Here is a 26,924-nt window from a genome sequence, read left to right on the forward strand (position 1 = left end):
TCTCTTCACTCCACAGGCCAAACCAAGAATATAATTGGAACTGCCTGATGTTTATAACATGAATCAATTCAAGTCCACTTACATAGACCCCTGGAATACATGAATTACTATCTCCTCTTTACAAGAGACTTCTACTACATGAAACATACTGGAGAGTCTTTAGGGATAGGCTCAGTTTTCTACACAAATTCTGCAATATCCTAAACAATTCTGTCTTCACAGTCATAATTGATGACTTGTTCTCTAAAGTACCCGAACTGTGTTTAAAGTCAGAATTTGCAAATGTTCTTCTGAGAAAAAAGAAAATCATTACATCTTAGTGACATTTATCCAGTCTCACAATCTTGCTGAAAAATATTTGTCATCATAACCACACTTTCCATGACCACATCTTTAGATATTTGGTGAGACTGGAAACATCAACAATGGTCCTTCTCAGAAATCAACTTAAAACACTGAAAGAAAAAGTAGCTGTGCTCAGTAATTGAACCTCATCAGCCTTGCCAATTAAAACACGTTGTGTGCATGTGCTTGTGAGTGTGAGTATGTTTTCTTGTGGAGATGCAAATAGTTTCTGTGGGTGGCATTTACTAAGCATCACTGGATCACTGGTGGAGTTCATAGGCACTTTCCTAACCCCAGGGAGTGATGGGAAATGTCACAGCCACTGAATCGGCCTAAGTTATAGCTGATAGGGTTGTTTATTTTAAAATTTTACAAATTCAGAAATAAATTTGTAAACTCAAAAAATGGGGCCGGGTGCAGTGGCTCATGCCTGTAATCCCAGCACTTTAGGAGGCTGAGGGAGGTGGATCACGAGGTCAGGAGTTTGAGACCAGCCTGGCCAACATGGTGAAACCCCATCTCTGCCAAAAATACAAAAATTTAGCTAGGCGTGGTGGTGCACCCCTGTAATCCCAGCTACTCGGGAGGCTGTGGCAGGAGAATCACTTGAACCTGGGAGGTGGAGGTTGCACTGAGCCGAGATCGCACCACTGCACTCCAGCCTGCGTGATAGAGCGAAGCTCCGTCTCAAAAAAAAAAAAAAGAAAATCAGGAAATCCTCTCTTATAAAACACATGATGTAAAATTTACTGATATTAATTTAAATACAAAATAGGAAAAGATTGGGCCTGATTAAGCAAAGGGAGCCAGGGAACAATGCAGTGTTTCTGGGCTAGGTGGGCTTGACATCCTCACACTGTTTAATTAAGGGTCTGTGTAATTTTGGCTGCTCTCTAAGTGCAACAACGGTTTATTTTGTAATAAAAAGATTGGTTCATGTGTCCTTTTGCCTCACTTGGCCCAGGGTGAATTTGAAGATCAACCCTAAATTGGCCTTTTGGGGAAAGCATAGAGGGTGTGAGGATGAGGGTTGCAAGGGTGGGAGTGGGGCATCTTTGTTCCTGATTTGGACAATCTTGAACTCATCAGGTCAGGTGTGAATCCATGAGACTGTGGAATGTTGGCCACTTGGTGACGCTGTGGCTCCACAATGCTGCAGGGAACCCTGGAGAGGGGTGGGAAGGTGGCCAAGAGAGGAGCTGAAGCCTATGCTTGGCTGCCTGCTGGCTTCAGGGGAGTGGTTTGATTCAGAGTGGATCCAGAGTTAAACACAAACTCCCCACTACCAGAGAAGAGTAGAGGTGCTGGAGGCCTCAGTTTGCACCAAAGAGTAGAGTGTCCCTGTGTCTGCTTGGGCAGTGGATGGTGAAGGAGCTTCAGCCACAAGGGCTGGGAATCAGTGTCAGGGCAGGGACAGGGCAGGTAGAGGAAAGTAAGGTGTGATGTGGGCATGTGGGGCCTGCTCTCCACCCACCAAACCTTTAGTTTCAGGGCTGTGCGGGACAGATGCATGGAGCAGCTGAGCCTGGGACCTGCCAAAGGGTGCAAGGGGCAGTGGTGGCCTGCAGGGAGAGAAACTCGCAAAGGCCAGTTCCCGCAGGAAGCTCCAGAAACATTCCTGCCCCCACTCAGGAAGTGACCGTGAGAGACATGCTGTCAGCCAGAAGGGTTCAGGCCCTGGAGAGCTGATAGGCTTTTCCCAGGCACTTTCTGCTGCTTCTACATGTGATCTGCTTTAATATTCACATAAATTATGCAGGATAAGTATTATTTTACCTGTTTATGTATCTGAAGGAAATCAGCTGTCCGGGGTCTCATACTTAATAACTGGCTGAAGACTGGGTGCAGTGGCTCACACCTGTGACCCTAGCACTTTGGGAGGCCGAGGTGGGCAAATCTCCTGAGCTCAGGAGTTCGAGACCAGCCTGGGAAAATCGGTGAAACCCTATCTCTACTAAAAATATAAAAATTTGGCCAGGTGTGGTGGTGCACACCTGTAATCCCAGCTACTCAGGTGGCCGATGCAGGAGAATCGCTTGAACCCTGGAGGCAGAGGTTGCAGTGAGCCGAGATCATGCCATTGCACTCCATCCTGAGCAACAGAGTGAGACTCTGTCTCAAAATAAAACAAAATAAAATAAAATAAAATAAAATAAAATAAAATAAAATAAAAGTCTCAAGCCTGTTGTGCCAACACCTCTCCTTAACCCCTTCTTTGTAGCTCTATCCTTTCACCTGCTTTCCCCTTTACAGGTCCCCATCAACAGGTTGTGAAGTTCATGCCTCATACGTAATCAGTATAGTCTCTTCCCTGAGAAGTCCAAGGAACATGTGACTTCCAGGCCAAGCATATACATTCATCCTTCATTGAGACAAAAAAAAAAAGTGTAATTTTCTGGCCAGCCATGATGCTTCACAGCTGTAATCCCAGCACTTTGGGAGGCTGAGGCAGGTGAATTGTTTGAGCCCAGGAGTTCGAGACCAGCCTGCCAACATGGAGAAACCACGTCTCTACTAAAAATAAAATAAATCAGCCAGGCATACTGGTGGGTGCCTGTAATCCCAGCTACTCAGGAGGCTGAGGAATGGGAATTGTTTGAACTCAGGAGGTGGAGGTTGCAGTGAGCTGAGATTGTGCCATTGCAATCCAGGCTGGACAACAGAGCTAGACGCCCGAAAGAAGGAAAGAAAGAAAGAGAGAGAGAGAGGAAGGAAGGAAGGAAGGAAGGAAGGAAGGAAGGAAGGAAGGAAGGAAAGAAAAAGAAAAAGAAAAAAAAAGGGGTGGTAATTTTCTGAACTGTAGACTTCCTGTAACGGATGCAACATATCTTGAGAAAAAGGAACACTAGTAATTGTTATTCACTAGTTAATTTATTTTATTCTTTTATTCAATAAACTTTTTTGGGGGACCTACTGTGTATAAGATACCCTATGTCGTCAAATAGAAAATGAAAAAGAAAAGTATCTGCAGATGATGGCAGATTTTAAAAAATAAAAAAAGAAAATAAATAAAGAAAGAAAGAATATTTTAAAATAAAAAATATTTTTTGGCTATTTATAACACTAAGGTCTGCATTTATTTTCATTTTTCAATTGTTTTATGTTTATTTTCAATTGTTTTATGTTTAGTGTACTTAGTTTTTGAATTTATATATTTCCTTTCTTCTTCTCATTCTCTCTTTGGTTTCTCCTTCTCTCTTCTTTGCCAGCTTGTATTTCTTTTTTATTTAAACTTTTGGTAAGGACATTTAACATGAGACCTATCCTCTGAACAGATTTTTAAGTGTACAAAACAGTATCATAGTCTACAGGCACAAGGTTGTACAGAAGATCTCTAAAACTTCCTCATCCTGCTTAACTGAAATTTTATACCTGTTGACAGCAACTCCGCATTTTCCCCAACTCCCAGCTCTTGGAAAGAAACATTCTCATCTTTGCTTCCATGAGTTTGACATGGTTGCCTCATATAAACAGAAACATGCAGTGTTTGCGTTTCTGTGCTTGACTTGTTCACTTAGAACAATGTCCTCCAGGTTCATCTATGACACATATGGAAGGATTGTTTTTCTTTTCTAACCCTTAATAATATTCCATGTTTCAGATCTGCAGGATTAAATGGATATAACATTTGGCTATTTCTATGAAACTCTCTGTCATGTGAGTGGCAGAGTCATTTGCAGAGCTGCAAGCACTGAGTTTATTCAGGCACATTCACAGATAAATTCTGCTCCATGGAGAACATTCAGAAAAAAATAATAATGCCAACTTTTATTTGTCAATTCACTATATGCCAAATAAAAATCTTTCATTTGAAAAAGTTCAATTAATTAGAAATTCAGCTATCAGAAAAAAACCTTAAGATGCAAATGCTATTCTCATTTTACAGATGAGGGAATTGGCTCATAGGTTAAAAAACTTGACCAAATTGAAGAGCTATTAGGATACAGTATTGGGACTTCAACCTGATCTGTCCAATTTTTGCATTTATAACTCTGTGCTATAGTGCATTTCATAGAGAGAGATGCCTACCTTCAAAAATCAGAATATTGGATCCTACATCCCTTTCAGATCAACTGGCTCTAACAACATGGAAAGAGATCAGTTTACCCTGGAGACAGTGATGTAAGGAGAGATCTCTGGCTAGATGCCATGACACTCAGCCCTGACTCCCATTCTAACACCAACTTGTAAAGACCTGAGGCCATTCTTGACATGCTGCGTTTAGTTTGTGTTTTGGGTTTTTATTTTTTTCTGTAAAATGAGATGACTACTGCCCTTATGAAGAGTTGTACAAAGATTTAATATGACAAAGTATCTAGCATATAGTAGATTCTAGCTATTTTGATTTCCTTTGCTAATCTCAAACAGCCTCTTCCACTGTGCCAATGAGCAAAGACAAATATGAACACATTCTGCCCAGGAATCTTAGGTTGAGGACTCAGAACTCACAGAAGTTGAAATATATATGCTTGATGATTCATTTGATGAAATTACCTGCAGAACATAGCGTACATGCCTTCTCAGACATTTTAAAATCAGCACAATTGATATATAAATTGTACAATATAAACATTACACATGTTAAATAAACAGATCAATGGTTATATATATATATATATATATATAGACATATATATGGGTTATAAGGATATATATGTATATCCTTATAACCACTATCCCTATAAAAAGGTCTCTATCACCCAGAAATCTCTCTCATACCCCTTTGCCATGACTCTCTCCATCTCTGACAACCAATGATGTGATTTCTATCACTGGAGAATACATTTTTTTCAAAAAATCTATTAGTAACATTTTAAAACCTGTATTGATTAATCCTTTTCAAATACATACATTTAAGAGTGCAAGGTGCTCCTGGAAAGTTTTATGGTTTTAAAAGAGGCTAAATTTCTGTGAGCTACCTGATCCATGTTAGGGACAATCCTATCTGGAGATAGGTAAGAGGATGAAATAGCCTCAAAATTACTTTCCAGCTGGTGGAAGCTCATTCTCCAAAATTATTTATTCATTTTTATTTATTTCTTTTCTCATCTACCCACTCATTCAAATTATTTATTTTATAATGGTATTGTGACAACAATTAATCATTTTAATGGAATTATTTTGAGTTCCCATATCACACATATTTAATTGGCCTTCAAGTTCACACACTGAATGCAACGGCACCAAACAAACCATGGTAACAGTGACTTTGTTGAGAGATGGTGTCATATGTGGAAAAGGGTTCTCTTTGCTTTTACCGCAAGTATCCAACCCATAAAACCTGAACTTTGAGCTAGGAAATCTCCCTTTTTGTTCTGGCCCTACCCTGGGCACCAGGCTCCAGCACCATGTCTCCTTCTGGGTTCTGGCCCAGAGAAGTTCTTGGCACAGTTGTAGCACCCACTCATGGGCTTGCTGGATCCCAGCTGTGAATGACAGTAGCAGGGCCCCCTTTGCTCTGACTTTAATTTCTGTGTCCTTCTCAAATAAGCCCTATAGATGCTGAGTGGCCTGGGCCCCTGCCATGTGCTTGGGCTGAAAGAAAGACAGCACGTGGGGAGGTGAGCAGGAGCGAAGTTGAAGCAAATCTAGAATTGACATGGAAAGGACTTTGGACATAAATCCCTAGGCAGTGGTGAGCCACTGGTCCTACTCCAAGTGAAACAACATGATGAAACTGATATTGTGTTACAGTAACATTGGTAGTAGTACGGATCTGAAAGGAGATAGATTTTTGGGTGGCATGAATGATTAGGAGACTTCTAAATATCCTCCATGAAAGATTAGAAAGGGTTTATGTAAAGCATTGTGGAAGACATAGGCTTGAGGCTCTGGATTATGTTATCTCTTGGAAAGAGTGTTGGGTTTTATTCTGGAAGGGTTAAATGTAGGACTTGCTAGGTTCTATTTGAGCTTTGCCCTTCCTCTTAGGGAGCCCCAGCCTGTGGTCATCATTGCTAGTGCATGGCCTTCCCAGGGTCTTAGTGGGAATCACAGTGTATTCGCCACATCACTCCACTGCAACTGGGTCTGAATGCCCTGGCTCTTCTGAAATCTCTGCCCATGTCTTCAGCCTTCCAGAACTTGTTCTCTGCTCAGCCTTCTGGTCTGCCACCCTCTGCATACACAATTTAGGATCTGGCTCAGGAAAAAAAAAAGGGGGGTTTCTTACATATAATTTTTGGGTTCCTTTTTACTACCCTGTGTCTTAAATCCCAGCTGTCTTGGAGTCAGTTATGTCCTATCTTCAATCACATAAACTAACGATATTTGGTACAGACATGTTTACTGACTTTACTTCACGTTACCATTCCACTCTTCACTCTTCTTTCTTGCAATTCAGACAGTCCTGAGGTCATTCTCCTTCTTCAGATCCATCTGGAATTCAGATGACTTCAACTCACCTGTCACCCACCCTATGCTTTGAGACATGTTTATGTTAGCTACTGACCTCAGGGTAGTCAAGCCTCTCATTGTCATTGTTATTCAAGGTAGGTTGAATCCCACTAAAAAACAAAAATCCTTGAAATTTGGTTTCCTTATTGAGAGCCACACAATGCAATCAAATTCTTTTTAATTCAATTTTTTTTTCTTTTTTGGTGGAAGGGCCAAGAACTGTTTCCTTGCTGAAGCAGACTCCTATTATAATAATTTGAATACTAACAACATTAACCTTTAAATCAGGTTGATGTTAGGTTCTTATCTAAGAATGAAGTATATCCAACTGTAGCAGGTTGAAGGTCTCTCATATATGTAACCTGTTCAGGACGAGACAATTCAACCACTTTTCTTAAATTCTGATCTACATGCCTTTACATTCTTTGCTTTAAGGGCCACATAAAAATACTCTGAAACAATTTACACATCAGAAAAATGCTAACACTTTCCTCCTGGCCCAGCACATCTCCAAGTTAAAAAAATCTCTAAATTATCAACCCATAGTTTAATCATGGTAACTCCCTTCTACCCCCAACATAGATTTTTATGTAACTGATTTGTAACTACAACCTTAACCGTACAATCACAATTGTCATTATAAAATACTAACAAACATGTGCTATTAACAATGGATGGTTAAAATCACTTAGGGATTATGAATCATTTCATTTTTGTGTTTATTTATTATGTCAGTTTCAAGCTGATTTCCCTTTCCCTTGTTCCACACACCTTGGGTTGTTCTTTTTCAGCATCCTGTGTATGTTAGCTCTAAGCCCAGCCAAGGCTCATGCCCCTCCACTTCAGGGACAGAGGGTGGCTCATCCCTTTCGTGCTCCCTCAGCTCCCTCCCCGGTGCCTGGTTGCTGGTTGGCATCACAGCCATGCCCTTGAAAGATGGGCGCTGGTCCACACTGCATCCGTGGTCATGTAGCCACCCTCCCTCCACAGAACCGAGCAAAAAGGGCTCCACCGCGCTTAGGCATTGAGGGAATGGACATTTTGAATGGTGCTGTCTTGTGTGATCCCTCAGAGGAGAAGGAGATTTCTTGAATGGGAGTGGTCTGTTGCTGAGAGGGATCCTGAAAGACACGGGGACAGAGACAGGGGTAGGATCCACATAATGAGGAAGCAGCTGAGAACAAAGGAGCCCCTGCCAGAGGAATATCCTTGGGGGGTAAAAAGCTGGCTCTGCCCTTTCTCCCCAGCCCATTCATCCCAGCCCAGACAATTCAAATCTGCCTTCTATCAGGACCTAGAAAGGATGTAAAACGGCCGGGTATAAATATCCCCTGGGTCTGGGGAAACTGTCAGGAGCAGTGACATCACAGGAAAAACCACCAACCAAGGCCAAGGAGACCAGAGCCCAGCACCTCACCCAGAGGACCCCAGTCAGAGGCCCCATCTCAGACCCGAGGCTAGCATGGGCTGCAGGCTGCTCTGCTGTGCGGTTCTCTGTCTCCTGGGAGCGGGTGAGTTGGGTTCACATCAGCTGTCCTTGAATTCGAAACTTTTTCCTTGTGATTTCAGCAACAAGCCTCCTCCTGGGCTCTGCCTGAATTTTGTCCCTTTCCCCCCGCAGTCCCCATGGAAACGGGAGTTACGCAGACACCAAGACACCTGGTCATGGGAATGACAAATAAGAAGTCTTTGAAATGTGAACAACATCTGGGGCATAACGCTATGTATTGGTACAAGCAAAGTGCTAAGAAGCCACTGGAGCTCATGTTTGTCTACAACTTTAAAGAACAGACTGAAAACAACAGTGTGCCAAGTCGCTTCTCACCTGAATGCCCCAACAGCTCTCACTTATTCCTTCACCTACACACCCTGCAGCCAGAAGACTCGGCCCTGTATCTCTGTGCCAGCAGCCAAGACACAGCCTTGCAGAGTCACCGCTTTCCTGTGCAGAAACCTTAGGGGCCCTCCAGGAAGCTGTGGGGGCCACCAAAGCCTTCGATGAACATTTCCTACAAGAGCCCCGGCAGAAGATTCAGAACATCATAGCACCTTTAATGGCATAAAATATCTAGCATATAGTAGAAGCCTAGCTATTTTGATTTCCTTTGCTGATCTCAGACAACCTCTTCCACCACACCAATGTGCAAAGACAGATATGGACACATTCTGCCAAGAAATCTTAGGTTGAGGACTCAGAAGTCACAGAAATGGAAATATATATGCCTGATAATTCATCTGATAAAATTAACTAGAGGATGTAGCATACATATCTCCTCAGGCATTTAAAAATCAACATTATTGATCTTTAAAGTATATGAAGTTAACAGGACACCTTTTAAATGAACATATCTGTGATTTTTGAGCAACATATATCTATATATGCAACCCCACCTCTATGAAGATGTATCTGCATCACCCAGAAAGTCCCTCACTCCCCTCTGCAATGCCTCTGTCTGTCCCAGCAACCAATGATGTGACTTCTATCACTGGAGAGTCGTTTTGTTGGCAAATATTTTTAATGCAAATGTCAAACCTCTTCTGAATAATCCTCTTGAATACATAGCTAAATCATCAAGGCAGGGAGGAGTTCCTGGAGGTTTTATGGTTTTAGAAGTGGTTGAAGCTAGGTGAGCTACCTGACCCATGGTAGGGACAATTCTATCTGGAGATGGATGTTGTGCCGAAATAACCTCAAAAGGTCTTTTCGGATGGTAGAAGCTGATTCTACAAAATTTATTCATTTTCATTCGTTTATTTTCTCGTCAATTCATTCAATCAAATAATTTTATGTTACGTTTTGACAAAAGTTAATCATCTTTAAGGAAATTATTTTGAGTTCCCATCAGACACACATGCAGCTGGGCTTTGTGTTCACACAGTGAGCATGCTGGGGTCAAGCAAACCATGATCACAGTGACTTCATTGACAGATGATGTCTTATTGGGAGAAGGGTTCTCTTTGACTTGACCCCATGTGTCCAACCCATAAAACCTGAGCCTTAGGCTAAAATCCATCTTCCTTTTCTCACCCTGCCCTGGGCACCAGGCCACTGTGCTGTGTGTTTCTCTGTCTCCTGAAGCAGAGTCCTGGGCGCAGATTTGGAACCTATTCGTGGGCTTGTTTGATCCCAGCTGTGACTTTCAGTACCAGGGGGTCCTTTGCTGTGACTTGAATTTGTGTTTTCTTTACTCTTAAGTTCCACAGATGCTGAGTGACCCAGACCCTGGTCATGCTCTTGTGCTGAAAGGAAACCAGCACACGGGGAGGTGAGCAGTATATGAAACAAAATCATGTATTTACAACCAGTGGCAAGACTTACTGGCAGGTGCTTTGTTCAAACACTGTTAAGAATTTGAAGATCATGACAGTAGAATGTGAAACCAAGTGCAGGGTCCTTCCAAATGCAGGCCTCTGTGCACCAAAGATAGACTTTTGGAGCTCATTTTTTTTAAACAAAAACGGAAACAACACTCTATGTTCATGGCTGTAGGCCATGCGAGAATATTTTTTTAAATTTTAATTTAATTTTTATTTTTCCATATATTATTGGGGTACAGGTGGTATTTGGTTATATGAGTAAGTTTTTAGTGATGACTTGCAAGACTTTGGTGAACCCACCATCTGAGCAGTATACACTGCACCATATTTGTAGTCTTTTATCCCTCACCCGCTCCTGCTGTTTCCCCAACACTTCCCCAAAGTCCGTTGTATCATTCTTATGCCTTTGTGACCTCATAGCTTTGCTCCCAAATATCGGTGAGAACATGCTATGTTTGGTTTTACATTTCTGAGTTACTTCACTTAGAATAATAGTCTCCCATCTCATCCAGGTAGATCATTCCAAATGCTGTTTATTCATTCCTTTTTATGGCTGTGTAGTATTTCATCATACATATATGATATATATATGATATATATGATATATATGTGATATATATGATATATATATGATATATATATATCACAGTTTCTTTATCCACTCGTTGATTGATGGGCATTTGGGTTGGTTCCTTTTTCTTTATCACTAAATTAATGGCAGCAATAAATCCAGAACATTCCTCATTACCCTAAAGTCAGCCCTGTCTCCCAAACTCCCTTACACATCAGGATACCTTTGTGCCCATAGATCATGGGCAGTGCTTGGCAGCCACCACTGTCCACACAGAGACGGTAGTCAGTAGCGTGAGGTGGTTCTGCCTGCTGGGATCTCACCCCAGGCACAGAAAGAAGGAGCCCTGGGTGGAGCTGAAAGTGCTCATCTGGGTTTGTCAGGAGTCCCATCTGTCAGTGAATTCACAAGAAACAGAACAAAACAACTCCTTCAATGTTGATGAGACTGCCCCTGGGATTTGGAAAGCTAATAACAGAGAAAACCAATATAGACAAAGGATTTTAAACAGGACTATCGGATTATGATCAATTAAGCAAATTAGAAAAGGATACTTGAAGGAGTATTTGGGACACAGGAATCAAAAACACCAGGAAGACATGAGGAGTTTTTCCAAGATTGTAGACTATAGCAATACTTAGATAACCAATACCAGTGTATTAATGAGTAATTATTAGTATTATTATTTTGAGATGGAGTCGCACTCTGTCATCCAGGCTGGAATGCAGTGGCATGATCTCGGCTTACTGCAACCTCCGCCTCCCTGGTTCAAGAATTCTGGTGCCTCCGCCTCCCGAGTAGCTGGGACTATAGGTGCACGTCAGGATGCCTGGATAATTTCTATATTTTTAGTACAGATGGGATTTCACCATGTTGGTCAGGCTGGTCTCCAACTCCTGGCCTGAAGTGATCTGCTCTCTTCAGCCTCCCAAAGGGCTAGGATTACAGGCATGGGCCACTATGCACAGCCAAGTAATTTGTATCATCATGGGAATAAAAAATATACATTGAGTTACAAACTAATTACCAAAAGATATTTAAAAAATGGTAGACTTGCATCGATTCAGACAAAGGCATTCTTCCCATCCAAACTGTTCACTGGTGCATTGATCTTGAATTTGACCATCTGGGGAAGGGGCGTGGCCTCTCCTGACAGCAAGGCTCTGGGGCCCAGGCAGGGAGAATGAGGTCTCAGAATGACGCCCTTGAAAGACGTGTTCCCTTTTCACCAATGCACAGACCCAGAGGACCCCTCCATCCTGCAGTTCCTGCCATGAGCCTCGGGCTCCTGTGCTGTGGGGCCTTTTCTCTCCTGTGGGCAGGTGGGTCCTGGGCGGGGCCCCTTGTGTGGATTTCAAGGCCCATCCCCTTTCCACTGGAGCTGTAGCATCAGCTTTGTCCTTCTCTGCAGGTCCAGTGAATGCTGGTGTCACTCAGACCCCAAAATTCCGGGTCCTGAAGACAGGACAGAGCATGACACTGCTGTGTGCCCAGGATATGAACCATGAATACATGTACTGGTATCGACAAGACCCAGGCATGGGGCTGAGGCTGATTCATTACTCAGTTGGTGAGGGTACAACTGCCAAAGGAGAGGTCCCTGATGGCTACAATGTCTCCAGATTAAAAAAACAGAATTTCCTGCTGGGGTTGGAGTCGGCTGCTCCCTCCCAAACATCTGTGTACTTCTGTGCCAGCAGTTACTCCACAGTGCTGCACGGCTGTCTCCTCTCTGCACAGAAAGGCAAGGGAAGGTGCTGCCCTCCTCCGCAGCACAGATTCAGCGATGCCCTTGGTCCTAGCACCGAAAACTTTGGAGCCCCAATGGGCCCGGGCAGTGCGAGCCTTCATCTGTGCCAGGTGCCTCTGCAGTCGGTCTCGGCCAGGCCTGGATCGGTCCCAGGACCTCAGATGTCTTCCTTGTTGCCCTCCGGTCTTTCCTCTGAGGTGTCCTTTTGGGCTAGTGCCAGGGGTTTCCCAGCTCTGACTTTCCTAGTCATTCACCTGAGTCTGAGGCCTCCTAGGTGAAATAGGATTTGTATTTCAGATCCATCTAGACTCCCGTCTCTACCTGGGTACCACGTGCTTTCCTCTCTCTATGATTTTTCCTCATGTTGAACCCTACGGTGGTCTCAGCTGCAGCCTGCATTTCCTATATTCACAGTCGCCCTCCAAGGCCTTGCTGGGTTTCTCCTCCCCGACCTCCCTGCCCTTCTCTACTCCAGCCATGTTGAGAGACTCCAAAGTCCATTTCCTGTGCCCTGGGCTGGAGCCTTCCTTTCTGTAGTGGTCAACACCTACCTGTGCTTCAGATCTCAGCATCATCAGCCCTAGTGATAATCACCATTATGCTTCCCTTGGCTCCCAGCTGAGGTCAGTTTCCCTCTCATAATCTCTCATGGTATCATGTGTCTGTTAATCAGTAGAATTTAGCACAGTTGGAATCTTCCAAGTACTTTAAACCCCATGAAGGCCAAGGCTATGCCTGGGTTATAAATCAGCAGCTGAGCCTGGCACAAGGGGAGATGCATTTCAGAGAATGGATGAGTCAGTGATGGAGTGAGTGATGAGTGGATGGATGAATCCATAACAGGAGCACCCTAGATCCATTTTACCCTTGCGGAGATCTGGCTGTAAGTACAAGAACTCTTACCCTTTTGATTGCTGGGCTACGGGAGGTCCTTGAAATTAATGGGGAGTCGCTATCATGGGCGGCCCCACCTTGGTCAAAGATTCCTCCTGAGTCTGCAGCACCAGACCTCCTCCAGGTCTCTGTGCTCTCCTTCAGACTCTTTCCCACAACAACTCTACACAGATCAGAGATCCCTTTCCAGAAACCCATGCATAGAGTTGTGTTATTTTGGAACCACTTCTGGTACCAAAAACTCCATTAGGTTTACATCAATAAAACAGAATCACTAAAAGTACTATGGAGAGGAGGATTTATGACAGGAGTTAGACCTTATATAAATGTAGGGGGAGCTGAGGAAGAGAAGGTCTGGAGGGGAGATATAGCTAGGCAGATTTAATTCATGATTAATGTGACCGTGACCTCTTATTCTACTCAAAGGAGAGCATATGATTTCAACAAAAAAAATATTGATTTTCCTTTGTAAAAGTTTGATCCAAATAGTGAGCTATTTTTGTCCCATAATTGTCTTAAGTTGGCTAATGGTGGAACAAATCCGACTTTGATTTCCTTGAAAGAACAGGAAAAAAACCATCATTCATATACAGTCTTACAGGCTCTATTTTATGGAGGAAGCATAATAAATAGGAAAGAGAAAATCAGAATTCTCTTCTGGAACCTACATTGGGACTGTCCTCAGAGCAGGTTGTGATGTGAGGAATCAAATCTACAGGGGTATTTCGCAGCTTGGAGCGCAGCAGACTGTTCCCGACCCCATGCATTTGGGGGTGAGACCAGAGACAGTTGAAAAACTATGGAATCTTGACATTCTGCACTCTCAAGCCTGGCCTCTCCCTGAATTTCACAGATTAACATAAGACCAATTTATTCCGACTATTAAAAGTATTAGAACAAAAACCAAGGAGGACCAGTGAGCAGAAGCAATAAACCATTAAAATGGACATCCTAAAGATTTAAAATTTTGCCATCATAAGATGTGAACGTTTGAAGAGCTACATTTAAATGAATACAAGAAGGGACTGAAACAAGTATACACACAAAAAAGAGACGGCCCGAAACCATCAAAAAACATTAAAGAAATAATCAAATAGAATGTCTAGAAATCATTACGATTACTCCACAAAACAAAATGGAAGCTAAACAGCAGATTCAATGCTTCTAAAGAGATTGTTAGCAATATCAAAGGAGGATCTCAAGAAATCACCTAGAATGCAGCACAGAAAATTAAATGTAAAATATAAAAAAAGTGAAGGAACAAGGAAAAAATGAAGTTTCTAGAATATTAGAAAGCATATAATGTTTTATTGAAACTTTTCTTACTTTCTTGTATATAACTGACGTTTCAGAAAGAGAAAATAAGGCAAATGATCTGAGGTGATTGTGTATGTGATGCTAGCTGAGAATGTTCCTGAGATGTTTGAGGACCGAAATCCTCGTTCAAGAATTCAGATGAATTGCAAGACAAGTAGGCAGGTCCCTGTGAAACTGCAGACCACAAATGACAAAGAAAAGATTTTAACAGCAGTCAAAAGGGAAAGATAAATATCCTCCAGGGGAATAGAAAGAAAGAAATAGTCAAAGTCAAGAAAGAGGATTAAAAATAACTGTTAAATCAGAATTGAGATTGATAAAAAATACCTACAGGACAGGACAAGAAAATATGGAAAACCAAAATAATTCTGTGAGTTTGCCACCAAAGTATCTTTTCAGAGTTATAGTTAACAAGGGTGGGAAATGATCCCAGAAGAAATGTATGAGGGCAGTTTGTGAGGGAACCCATGTGATGGGACAATCCCGTTGGGCACATGTGAGTGGGGGAATGGAGGAGGCTGGGGCATGAATGGGGATGGCAGAGGGGACCCTGACTTGGAGGAAAGACAATGAGCTCATCCCATGGTGCCTGGTGTTGGGGGCACTGTTGGCACATCCTACAGAACGTGCTCAGCAGACAGAGGAGCGGCTGTGGGATGAGAAGGTGAACTCGGAGATGCAGCGTGAGGCCTCCAAGTCCAGACAGCATGGGAGCCCAAAGCGATGTCCCATGCAATAACGTTGTTTACAAGGAGCTTATAAATATTTAAAGTAGTCACCCAAGTGTGGTCTAATATAAATCCTGTGTTCCTGAGGTCATGCAGATTGAGAGAGGAAGTGATGTCACTGTGGGAACTTCCGTGTAAGGACGGGGCGTCCCTCCTCCTCTGCTCCTGCTCACAGTGATCCTGATCTGGTAAAGCTCCCATCCTGCCCTGACCCTGCCATGGGCACCAGGCTCCTCTTCTGGGTGGCCTTCTGTCTCCTGGGGGCAGGTGAGTCCTCAGACACCAACCATTCTCATTGTGTGTGTGTGTGTGTGTGTGTGTGTGTGTGTGTGTGTGTGTAGGGGTGGGCTGTGTGCATTCGTGTGATGACTAAAATTATTTTCCTCATTCTGTTCCCAACTTTGTCTCCACAGATCACACAGGAGCTGGAGTCTCCCAGTCCCCCAGTAACAAGGTCACAGAGAAGGGAAAGGATGTAGAGCTCAGGTGTGATCCAATTTCAGGTCATACTGCCCTTTACTGGTACCGACAGAGCCTGGGGCAGGGCCTGGAGTTTTTAATTTACTTCCAAGGCAACAGTGCACCAGACAAATCAGGGCTGCCCAGTGATCGCTTCTCTGCAGAGAGGACTGGGGGATCCGTCTCCACTCTGACGATCCAGCGCACACAGCAGGAGGACTCGGCCGTGTATCTCTGTGCCAGCAGCTTAGCCACAGCATGGCACAGTCGCCTCCTTCCTGCTCATAAACCTCATCCTTCTCTCTCCTTGCAGCTCCTAGACACCCTTAACAGAGGCTTCTCTTTGCTTCTCCCTCCCCATGGGAAACAAGTAGATTTGGACCTCAGCTTGTCCTTTGGGTAGAAAGAGACCACAGATTTACCCTTAAGACACAGTAACTGTAAATGTGGGTGGTGGAAGCAATCGTGGCCCACCGGGCTATTGGAGTCCTCAGAGCCAGCTCATTGCTCTAAGGCAAGCACTGGGTGTCTTAGCCTTGGCCTTCAGGGCTGGGACACACAGTCTTCTTTGGGGCCTGGGAGGTTGCTGCCCACATAGAGAAGCTTCGGGCATGGCTGAGGAACAGGTGTCTTCCCCTACATGTGTTGGGGCATCTGCAAGGTCTGAAGCTTCATCCACAAGAACATTCTTTCTTCTGAAGCCTCTTCTGTTACATTGGAAGTTTTCTGCAATACAAGAGCAAACCATTCTTCCTGTTTGATTTAAAAGTCTTTGTGGCTTTTGTGGCCATTACTTGGTGAATACAGCCAAGATAACAATAAGACTTCGTTTCTTCTGCCTAGTGTAAGCAATGCGAGTTCTTTATTTTGTTTTCGTTTACCACTGCTCCTGTCCTGAGAGACTGAAGCATGCGTCCACTACTGCTCCAGTGTCAACTTGGTTCCCTAGGAAATCGGGTTTCTAGAACCTGAATGCTGACAAATAAGAGTTGTGTACATGTATACCATGCAACCTGCGTTTAAAAATGTATGTACATGGTGAAGTGACTAAATCTAGCTAATTAACATATGCAGTACCTCAATCCTTATCCTTTCCTGTGGTGAGAATACTTGAAATGTACTCTGTTAGCAATATTCCAGAATACAATCCACTGTTACTAACTTTAGTCACTGTGTTGTACAATAGATCTTTTGAACTTCTTCCTCCTATTTGAGTGAAATTTTGTATCCTTTAACCAACATCTCCCCAGCACCCCATCTCCATCCCAACCTCTGGTAATTGCTGCTCTAGTCTTTTGATTTGAAATAATTTCCCTGAGGTCTTTAACTTGAGAAGATGGAGTTTTAAAAACAATAATGCTTATATTACTTTTGTTTTGTTTGTTATTTTACATATTGCAATATAGTGTTTGTTGCAAATATAAATGAGTATACTGTAATAAAAATTCTTCACCTCTCTTTGAGTGAAGCTACATTTCACATATATGAAATTTCAAGCTGTGGTCAGAGCTGACATGATTATGGATCATGGGTTTCTGGGAGTCCTCAGAGACAGCCCTATACACAAAGGTTAAGATAGATTATCCCAGACCCAGCCAGGACAGAGGTGCCCTGAGTCCTGCAGAGCTGGTTGGGGAATTATAGTTCCCTAAATTCACTTATCAGAAATTGTGGTAGCTCAGATACCAAATTTCTTTCTCTAGCAAATGATGATCGTTGGCAGGGATTGTTCTGAATCCATTCTAATTGTTCTATCAACAGATCATTCCTTTTTTAGTTGCCCTGTGTGTCCTGGGAGTGAATAAGTCCCAGGCACAGATGGGAATTTCCTGACCTTAGGATGCTGTTCCAAGGACTTCCTTGCTAGACCCTGTCTCCAGCTTTTCCCACCTTTATCCTCATGACCCCTAAGACAAATGGTCCTAATAATGGACCAGCTCTGAAACTTAAGATTGAACAGAACACAAACCACAACTGTAAACACTGATGCTGAAAGAAGTGGTAAAAAAAGGTGAGCAGGGTTTCCCACCTGCACTGAGAGTTAACATACAAGGACAGCAAAGGGAAGGTTTTATTAATAAGCAAACAAGAAGCAATAAAGGCCCTGCTCCAAATGAATGTAACTAATCTCTTTGAGTTAAAAAAGGAGCACGTCAATAAAAGTATTTCAAATCAAAGTCTAGAAGTTTCCAAACCAGCCAGCACAACCCTGAGAGCTCTGTGCTCTCAGCAACTTCAGAGAACTCATCAATCCTTTCTGGGCTCAAACTTCCCTTTGTCCACTCGAAGACCCAGGGTCACACTCTCATCCTATTACAAAAACAATGGGCTTTGCTATCGTTGCTGATGCCTCATTTCTAGGAGTTGAGTATTAAGCACTGAAGAGCTTTGAAAGTTGGGCTTCTGAGTCAATTGATGTGCTGGAGCCAACTTTTCTGACTCACGAGAGACAAATAGGCACACTCTTCCCAGCTCCCCATTCAGTGAAGCCATGTTGACAGCTTGAAATCCACCATAGTGCCTGTGTTGATACAACAGAAATTGGTAAGTACTACTAGGCATGTGCCCACCTCCACAGACACTCAGTGTACCAGCACATCACTGGAATGTTTTCTGAGACAGTGATGTCCCTGTTATGTCGTCATGTCTTGTGGGGCCAAAAGGACTCCGAATTCACCTCCTCTCTGTTCTTGCTTTTAGAAACCATAATCTAAAATAACCTCACCTGACACTATTTCTATTCAATCTCCAAATTCCCTCACTTTGTGGGTCTGTGTCTCCTGTAAGCATGTCAGTCCACAACTTGACAACTATTTTGAATGTAGCTAAAGGATACAGTGAACCAGTTTATTATTTTCAAATTATCCTTCCTTGCATGGAATATGTAGATGCTGCAGTCATTGGGAACAGAGATGGGGCAAGCAGCAGCTCTGGGCCGTGAACCACTTTAGAGTCAGACAATTCTTCAGTGGCACAGACACACCCTTGGGCATGGACTAATTTGCTTTGGAAACTAAGCAGTTCCACACCAGTCACCAATGACCTTGGATCTATTTCCAGCTGAGAGGTCAAAAAGATCACACTACCTAAATGTCCTCCTCTCCAATATATAGTACAGCCCCCGTCCATCTCAGTCCCTGGAGGTCATCCAGAGCTCCCAGAGAATCTCTGCTCTGGGGCAGAATCACCACGTCTCCTCCTCGCCAGCTCCCCACAGGCTCCAGCAAGGCTTTCCTGCCAGGTGCAGGGCATGGGTGTGGCTCTGCTGTCTCTCAGGTAGAGGGAGGCCATACGATGATGTTTGTATAAGAAGGATTGGGTTTCAGAGGTTCCTCTCAAATACTTGACATAATTTTATTTGCTTTTTGTTTCACTCTACAATGTCACCATTTAGGAGAGCAATTATTTTGGTTGCATTATTTATGGAACTTTGAAAGATTTTTGTGGTTAAATTAATTTAAGAAATCATTCCCATTGTGCATCTTTTCTGTTCAGATATAATCTGAGGCAGTGAAAGAAACAGCAATGATTCTGAAAGCAGTCACTTACATGCCCTCTGATAAAGGCATTGTTCAAGGTTCATTACTCACACCTAACTTTCAGTCTACTGGAAATGAAAGGCACAGAGTTGGGGGCCTGTGATCAAGCCACAAGAGAGGACTATACCAGCTACTCTGGGACTTCAGGGCACGAAGAGATGACCTCCCCTTTAGACTCTGCTCAACGACGAAGGAATGAGTTGGTCCATGGGAACCTGAGGAGCAGAAATTCCGGGAGCCTTTAACTGGGACGGAGCAAGGACTGTAGAGCAAGTCATTGGAAAGGGAAATGGTTCATCTGGTCTGTCACAGAAGATAGTGGATAGAAAGGTCATATAATCCCCAGTTCCCTGGCTGATTTGCTTCCTTATGATACTATTTTGCAGCAGCGTACCGTCATCTCACACCACTCCTCTACCTCTTCCAGAATCATCTCCTCCCTCTCTGCTGCTCAGATCAGCACATGTGCATTGCACAAGCTATTCTTTTACTGTAGCAGACCTTTTGCTGGTCTTAATTATATCCATCCTTATTTTCCCATTAGATACTGCTCCCTCCATGATTGCTTATTGCCTTGCAAGGGATCCTTTACCCCCCGCCCCCAGACAGAGTCTCACTCTGTCGCCCAGGCTGGAGTGCAGTGGCGCAATCTCGGCTCACTACAAGCTCTGCCTTCCGGGTTCACGCCATTCTCCTGCCTCAGCCTCCCGAGTAGCGAGTAGCTGGGACTACAGGCGCCCGCCACCACGCCCGGATGATTTTCTGTATTTTTTAGTATAGAGACGGGGTTTCACCGTGTTAGCCAGGATGGTCTCTATCTCCTGACCTCGTGATCCGCCCGCCTTGGCCTCCCAAAGTGCTGGGATTGCAGGCAGAAGCCACTACGCCTGACCAAGGGATCCTATTTTTTATATCCCAGTTTTACTTTTTATTAACACATATCTGACCCCATCTTGAAGGTAATCACATTATCTGCCTAGACTTTTGCTAATCTTTATTTTTATGGTACCATTGTCATTTGGGGGGACATATTTGTTTATCTTTGGTAATGGAAATGAAATTACGTTACACTTCACTTTCTGTGTTTTCTTCCTACTTTAGGGTAAATATTATTTCCTTCTATTCTTCCTATTCTATTCCTCTCTCTTTAGATAGTTTTAAGGGAGAAAATGTCAGTGAGACTGTAACTGCAGCTATGGGGTAAGAATTATTTAGAATGAGGGTGGGATATTAAGCTTGATAACTCAAAGGAACAGTCAGGGTTAAAACTAATGTTGGGATCGGGGTTCAGAGAAGTTGCTTGTAAAACCTGCAGGATGGCACTTCTGGAATAGTCTCCCGGCTCCCTCTGCAGACACTTCCCAGCATCCCTTGGGCCATTTCCCTTGCAAAAGCAATGATGAAATTTCACTTATTGGCCACAAGATGGCACTGTGGTCCACTGGGCTCTAAGAGACTCTGGGGAGAGCCTGGGAGAGCAGCCTAGGAAGGAAAGGGTTAAGAAAAATCAGGGCTGGCATCCAATATCATGCAGATGTTGCAGCAGTTTTCAGTTATTGCTAGACTACCTACAGTTATACAACATACAGGAAATACCTCTAATCTTTAATGAGATCCACAGTTGAAGAAGTTTGGCCTGGCAGCCTTGGTGTCAAGGGCAGGTGCAGACAGAGGAGCAACTATCTCAGAGGAAAATGGGAAAGTGAGGGGTGGGCTGTGGCTTAAGCCCAGTGCGTCTCTGCTGCACCCCATCTTCCCTGCAGCTCTCACCAGGCAACAGCCTCCATGAGAGTAGGTGGATCCTGCCTGAGCCCAGTCAGAATGCCCCAGACTAGGTGAACTCTGTAGGCATGGGGAGTAACACAACAGGCCCACCTTTCACACGTTTCCAAAGTCTAGGCTCCAAGCCTTTTTTTCCCCTTTCCTCTGCAGAGTCCTGCCACTTCTGAAGCCTTGTCCTCACTTTCTGCCTGCCTCTCCCACAGCCCCCATGGAGGCAGGGATCAGCCAGATACCAAGATATCACAGACACACAGGGAAAAAGATCATCCTGAAATTTGCTCAGATTAGGAACCATTATTCAGTGTTCTGTTATCAATAAGACCAAGAATAGGGGCTGAGGCTGATCCATTATTCAGGTAGTATTGGCAGCATGACCAAAGGCGGTGCCAAGGAAGGGTACAATGTCTCTGGAAACAAGCTCAAGCATTTTCCCTCAACCCTGGAGTCTACTAGCACCAGCCAGACCTCTGTACCTCTGTGGCAGTGCATCCGCAGCCCTGCACAGCCAGCTGCTCTCTGCACAAAAAAGGGCAGCCACAGGCTGGAGGTGGGCACTCCTTCCCAAGGCCTCTATCTCAACCAGGAGATAAAGATGCCTTTTTTGAAGCTCTTCTCAGATGTCCCAGCAATGGGCTCCCAGTCTGTGCATCCTCCTGCAGCAGGAACTTCAGTGTGAGCTGAGGTCCATCACTGTGATGTGGATGCACGAATGCAAACAACACTTAATGTTATTTTACTCAATTCAGAATATTCTGGCAGTTGCGTAAAATAGGAATAGTAGCTCCCAAAATGAAATTTGTGTCTCATTTTCTTTATGAGAGAAAAGAAAAAAAAACAGAAAGCAGCTGGGCAGCTTTAACCTGCTTGAGTGATCTGGGATTCTACAAGTCTACAAGTGGTACAAAGAACATCACCTTGGCCTGGATGCCAATGGATACCAAACACTACAAAAAGTATTGAAAACAATTTATAAAAGACCTAAATAAACAATCTACTTATAGGAAATGTTAGTAGATCCATCGCATAGTGCCATTATACCTGACGATGATCAACTAGTGAAATTATTATGTAGAGATTATCAGCTAAGCCTCTACTTATTACCTCTGAGCATAGAGCAGTGTTTGAGCCTTCTGAGGGTATCTTAAGGAAGGAACTTAATTCTTACCATTACTTTGGCTTGGATTAAAATCCATGAGCTTGTCGTTTTTATTGTAAAATATTACAGAATAATAATGATCAAACGTTTTATTTTCCTCTAGCGTTTATTCCTCTTTAGAACGTGCAGGTTGAAGCTCACACACATGAGCAGGGTTCCTTAAGATGAGATCCATTAACTCCAGGACTGGGAGGTACACAGCTGGCCTTCACAGGAAGTGCAAACCCCAAATGCAGTGACCCCTCCTGTGTCTACGCTGTGCCCAATACCCCTCTGTGAGGCTGCCATAAAGGCGGGCAGGCTCCTTGCTTGGCAAAAAAATCAGTTCACCAATTGGCCACTTTGCTGAAGACCAGAATAAAAGGCTAAATTGTGAGAATGATGAATGCCCAATTCCCAAATTGTGAAATGTGTAACAGTTCACGATTCTTGGAATAATTTCAACCATGTGTGGTTTGTTTTTTTTTTTAAGTTTTTCTTTGTCGACAGCTTTCTTTCGGCCACTGATCCTCAGTTGTTTCCCAGCCGCCTTGTCAGCTGATCTCATTTTGATGCTAATTTTTTTTTTTTTTTTGCTAGCTTTGGGATTATTTGTTCTTGTTTTACTATGTCCTCTAAGTGTGGTGGTAGGTTGCTAATGTGAGATCTCTCTAACTTGTTTATGTGGGTGTTTCGTTCTGTAAACAATACTCCTAACACTGCTATAGCTGTGTCCCAGAGATTCTAGTATATTTAATCTTGGTTTTCATTAGTGCCAAAGAATGTCTTGTTTTCTACCTTCATTTTATGGCTTACCCAAGTCATTCACTAGCAGATTGTTTAATTTCCATGTAATTGTATGATTTTGAGAGATCTTATAACTCTTGATTTCTATTTTTTTTGTGCTGTGGTCCAAGAGTATGGTTGACATGATTTCAGTTTTTTTTATAATTTGTTTACAATTAGTCTGTGTCCAATCATGTGGTTGATTTCAGAGTATGTGCCATGTGTAGATGAGAAGAATGTGTATTATGCTGTTATTGGGTGGAGTGTTCTGTAGATGTCTGTTAGGACCACTTAGTCAAATGTTGAGTTTAGTTTATGAATATCTTTGTTAGTTTTCTGCCTTGACAATCTAATACTGAGTGTTGAACTCTTCCAGTATTGTTGTGTGGTTTTCTACGTGTCTGTAGGTCTCTAAGAACTTGTTTTATGAATCCAGCTGAACCAGTGTTGGGTACCTATATATTTAGGATAGTGAGGTCTTCTTGTTGAATTGGGCCCTTTATCATTATGCAATGCCCTTCTTTGTCATTTCTGATAATTGTTGGTTTAAAGTTTGTATTGCCTGAAATTAGAATAGCAACTTCTGCTCTTTTTTGTTTCCCATTGGCTTGGTCATTTTTCTCCATCGCTTTATGTTGAGCCTATGGGAGTTGCATATGAGATGGGTCTCCCGAAGACAGCATACAGTTCAGTGTTTCACTTGTCTATACAACTGGACGCTCTTTTTTTTTTTTTTTTTTTTTTTTTTTGAGATGGAGTCTCGCTCTGTCGCCCAGGCTGGAGTGCAGTGGCGCGATCTTGGCTCACTGCAAGCTCCGCCTCCTGGGTTCACGCCATTCTCCGGCTTCAGCCTCCCGAGTAGCTGGGACTACAAGTGCCCGCCACCACGCCCAGCTAATTTTTTGTATTTTAGTAGAGACGGGGTTTCACCGTGTTAGCCCGGATGGTCTTGATCTCCTGACCTGGTGATCCGCCCGCCTTGGCCTCCCACAGTGCTGGGATTACAGGCGTGAGCCACGGCGCCTGGCAGCTCTTTTAATAATAAACGACTTTTATGTGCTGTGTTTAGCCTGTTTACATTCAAGGTTAATATTAATACGTGTAGATATGATCCTGCCATTGTGTTCTTGCTTGGTTGTTATGCAGACTTGATTGTGTAGTTGCTTTATAATGTCAATGGTCTATGTACTTGAGTGTGTTTTTTGGTGGCTGTTAGTGATCTTTCATTTCTATGTTTAGGACTCCCTTCAGGACCTCTTGTAAGGCAGGTCTGGTAGTAACAAATTCCTTGAACATTTGCTTGTCTGAAGGGATCTTATTTCTCCTTTCCTTATGAAGCTTAGTTTGGCTGGATATGAAATATATAGGGATACTGGTTGGAATTTCATGTCTTTAAGAATGTTGAATATTGGCTCCCAATTGTTTCTGCCTTGTAAAGTTTCTCCTGAAAAACCTGCTGTTAGTCTGATGGGATTCCCTTTGTAGGTGACCTGCCTTTTCTTTCTAGCTGACTTTAATATTTTTTCTTTCATGTTGACCTTGGAGAATCTGATGACTATGTGTCTTGGGGGTGGTTGTCTTTTATGGTATCTCATAAGAATTCTCCGTGTTTCCTGAATTTGAATATTAAACTCTCTAGCAAGGTTAGGGAATTTTTTGTGCTCAATATCCTCCAATATGTTTTCAATGTTGCTTACTCTCTCTCCCCCTCTTTCAGGGACATCAATGAGTCATAGGTTTGGTCTTTTTACATAATCCCATATTTCTCAGAGGTTTACTTCATTCATTTTTCTTTTTTTTCCATTCTTTTTTTGTCTGACTGAATTGATTCAAAAATAAGTGTTCAAGCTCTGAGATTATTTTCTCATTGATTATGCTGTTAATACTTCTGATTACATTATGACATTGTTGAGGTTAGTTTTTCAGCTCTATCAGATCAATTTTGTTCTTTCATAAAATAGCTATTTCATTTTTCAGCTAATGTGTCATTTTATTGGATTCATCAGATTCCTTAGATTGACTTTCAGCTTTCTTCCGAATCTTGATAGTGTTTGTTTCTAACCTGTTTCTGAATTCTATGTCTATCATTTCAGCCGCTTCAGCCTGGTTAAGAATCATTGTTGGGAAGCTAGTGTGTTCATTTGGTGCTAAGAAGGCACTCTGACTTTTTAAGTTGCCAGAGTTCTTTCACTGGTTCTTTCTCATCTCTGTGGTCTGAGGTTTCTTTAATCTTTTAAGCTGATGTCTTTTGGAAGGGTTTTTTGCTTTTATATTCTATGCCCTTGAGGGTTTCACTGTTACATAAGCTGGGTTCAGGAGACTGGCTTCATTTATGGAATATTTCAGGGGGCTAAGATTCAGCTCAGTATTTCTGGGCTGCGTGTTGTAGGCCTGTGGTGCTGGAATTAAGCCCAGAGCTTTGGTTTTTGACCCCTTAAGGTTAAAGCACCTGCTACACCAGAGGGGCTGAGGCGTTCCCAATTCCACTGGCAACAACACTGCAATGGGGAATGCCAGCCAAAGTACTTTTTCCAAATGGTGGCATTGGGGTACATGCTCAGAAGCATGTGCCAATAATGGCAATGTGGCAGTTTCCATACATATGTTTGTGCTAGCTTTTTTATTATTATATAGTAAACTTCTTTGCCTCTTTTTATAGTTATTGTCTTGAAATATATTTTATCTGATATAGATATAGCTACTCCTGATCTTTTCTGGTTTTCACGTGCATGAAACATCTTTTTGTTATCTCTTCACTTTCAATCTATATGTCTTTTTAGGGGAGGTGTGTTTCTTGTAAGTGACAGATCATTGGGTCTTATTTTTATATTCATTCAGCTACTCTATGTCCTTTGATTGGTGAGTTTACATCATTTACATTCAATGTTATTGTTGATAACTAAGTACTGGCTCCTGCCATGTATTTGTTTTCTGGTTGTTTTGTGGTCTTCTCTTCATTTGTTTCTTCTTTCCTGTCTTCTTTTTAGTAAAGGTGATTTTCCCTGATAACGTGTTTTCATTTCTTGTTTGTTATTTTTGTGTATCTGTTGTATGTGTTTGTATTTAAAGTTACTACGTTGCATATGTTTGTATTTAAAATTACTATGCATGAGGCTTGCAAATAATATCTTATACTGATGACAACATAACACTGATTGCCTAAGCAAACAAACCAAAAAAAAACAGAGAAAACTAGTAAAAATCTTATATTTTAACATTGTCCACCTACCTTTCAACTTTGTGTCATTTCTATTTATATCTTAGGCACTGTCTATGTCTTGAAAAGCTGTAGTTTTTTTTTTAATTGGTTCATCTTTTAGTCTTTATAAGTAGTTTACACGCCGTAATCACAGTATTATAATATTGTGTTTTTCTTCGCACTATTATCAGTTAGTTTTGCACCTGCAGATAATTTCTTATTTCTCATTAATGTTCTTTTCTTTCATGCTGAAAAATTATCTTTTGCATTTCTTCTAGGACAGGTCTGGTGTTGAGGAAGTCCCTCATATTTTGTTTGTCTGGGGAAGTCATTATTTCCCTTTCATGTTTGAAGGGTATTTTCACTGAGTACACTATTCTAGTATTAACGTTTTTTTTTTTAGCATTTTAAATATGTCATGCTGCTCTCTCATGACCTGTAAGATTTGCACTGAAAAAGTCTGCTGCTAGACTATATTGGTGGTCCATGGTATGTTATCTGTTTCTTTTGCTGCTTTTAGAATCCTTTCTTTATCCTTGAAATTTTGATTTATCCTTGAAGTTTGATTATTGTCTTGATGTAGTCTTCTTTGACTTAAATATGCTTGGTATTCTATAATCTTCTTTTACTTGAATATTGATATCTTTCTCTAAGTTTGGGAATTTCTCTATTATCATAGCTTTGAATAAACTTTCAGCCCTATCT

At 42.4% G+C, this 26,924-nt stretch overlaps 1 pseudogene, 3 gene segments (V, D, J or C) and 1 further gene, besides 13 other annotated features; all 5 read left to right on the forward strand.

Annotated features, from left to right (window-relative positions):
- TRB (T cell receptor beta locus) overlaps positions 1-26,924 on the forward strand; it is a 514,277-nt gene that overhangs the window by 38,318 nt on the left and 449,035 nt on the right.
- Positions 7,638-8,139: an enhancer, noted in NCBI's record as "H3K4me1 hESC enhancer chr7:142044797-142045298 (GRCh37/hg19 assembly coordinates)". NCBI's record gives its function as "activates a minimal SCP1, AML or CMV promoter by ChIP-STARR-seq in primed H9 embryonic stem cells {active_cell/tissue: H9 hESC(primed)}" and the evidence as "EXISTENCE:reporter gene assay evidence [ECO:0000049][PMID:30033119]".
- TRBV4-2 (T cell receptor beta variable 4-2) lies at positions 8,204-8,657 on the forward strand. The segment is given in 2 exon segments: positions 8,204-8,252; positions 8,363-8,657. Coding segments are annotated over 2 exon segments (344 nt in total), but the record flags the coding sequence as incomplete, so codon positions are not given.
- Positions 8,658-8,664: a recombination feature (RSS_heptamer).
- Positions 8,665-8,687: a recombination feature (RSS_spacer).
- Positions 8,688-8,696: a recombination feature (RSS_nonamer).
- On the forward strand, positions 11,904-12,336 carry TRBV6-3 (T cell receptor beta variable 6-3). The segment is given in 2 exon segments: positions 11,904-11,952; positions 12,042-12,336. Coding segments are annotated over 2 exon segments (344 nt in total), but the record flags the coding sequence as incomplete, so codon positions are not given.
- Positions 12,337-12,343: a recombination feature (RSS_heptamer).
- Positions 12,344-12,366: a recombination feature (RSS_spacer).
- Positions 12,367-12,375: a recombination feature (RSS_nonamer).
- On the forward strand, positions 15,538-16,030 carry TRBV7-2 (T cell receptor beta variable 7-2). The segment is given in 2 exon segments: positions 15,538-15,586; positions 15,733-16,030. Coding segments are annotated over 2 exon segments (347 nt in total), but the record flags the coding sequence as incomplete, so codon positions are not given.
- Positions 16,031-16,037: a recombination feature (RSS_heptamer).
- Positions 16,038-16,060: a recombination feature (RSS_spacer).
- Positions 16,061-16,069: a recombination feature (RSS_nonamer).
- Positions 21,303-21,589, forward strand: TRBV8-1 (T cell receptor beta variable 8-1 (pseudogene); annotated as a pseudogene). The gene is given in 1 exon segment: positions 21,303-21,589. A coding segment is annotated over 1 exon segment (287 nt), but the record flags the coding sequence as incomplete, so codon positions are not given.
- Positions 21,590-21,596: a recombination feature (RSS_heptamer).
- Positions 21,597-21,619: a recombination feature (RSS_spacer).
- Positions 21,620-21,628: a recombination feature (RSS_nonamer).

This window comes from Homo sapiens, chromosome 7 (genome assembly GCF_000001405.40).
Source record: "Homo sapiens chromosome 7, GRCh38.p14 Primary Assembly".
Taxonomy (NCBI): domain Eukaryota; kingdom Metazoa; phylum Chordata; class Mammalia; order Primates; family Hominidae; genus Homo; species Homo sapiens.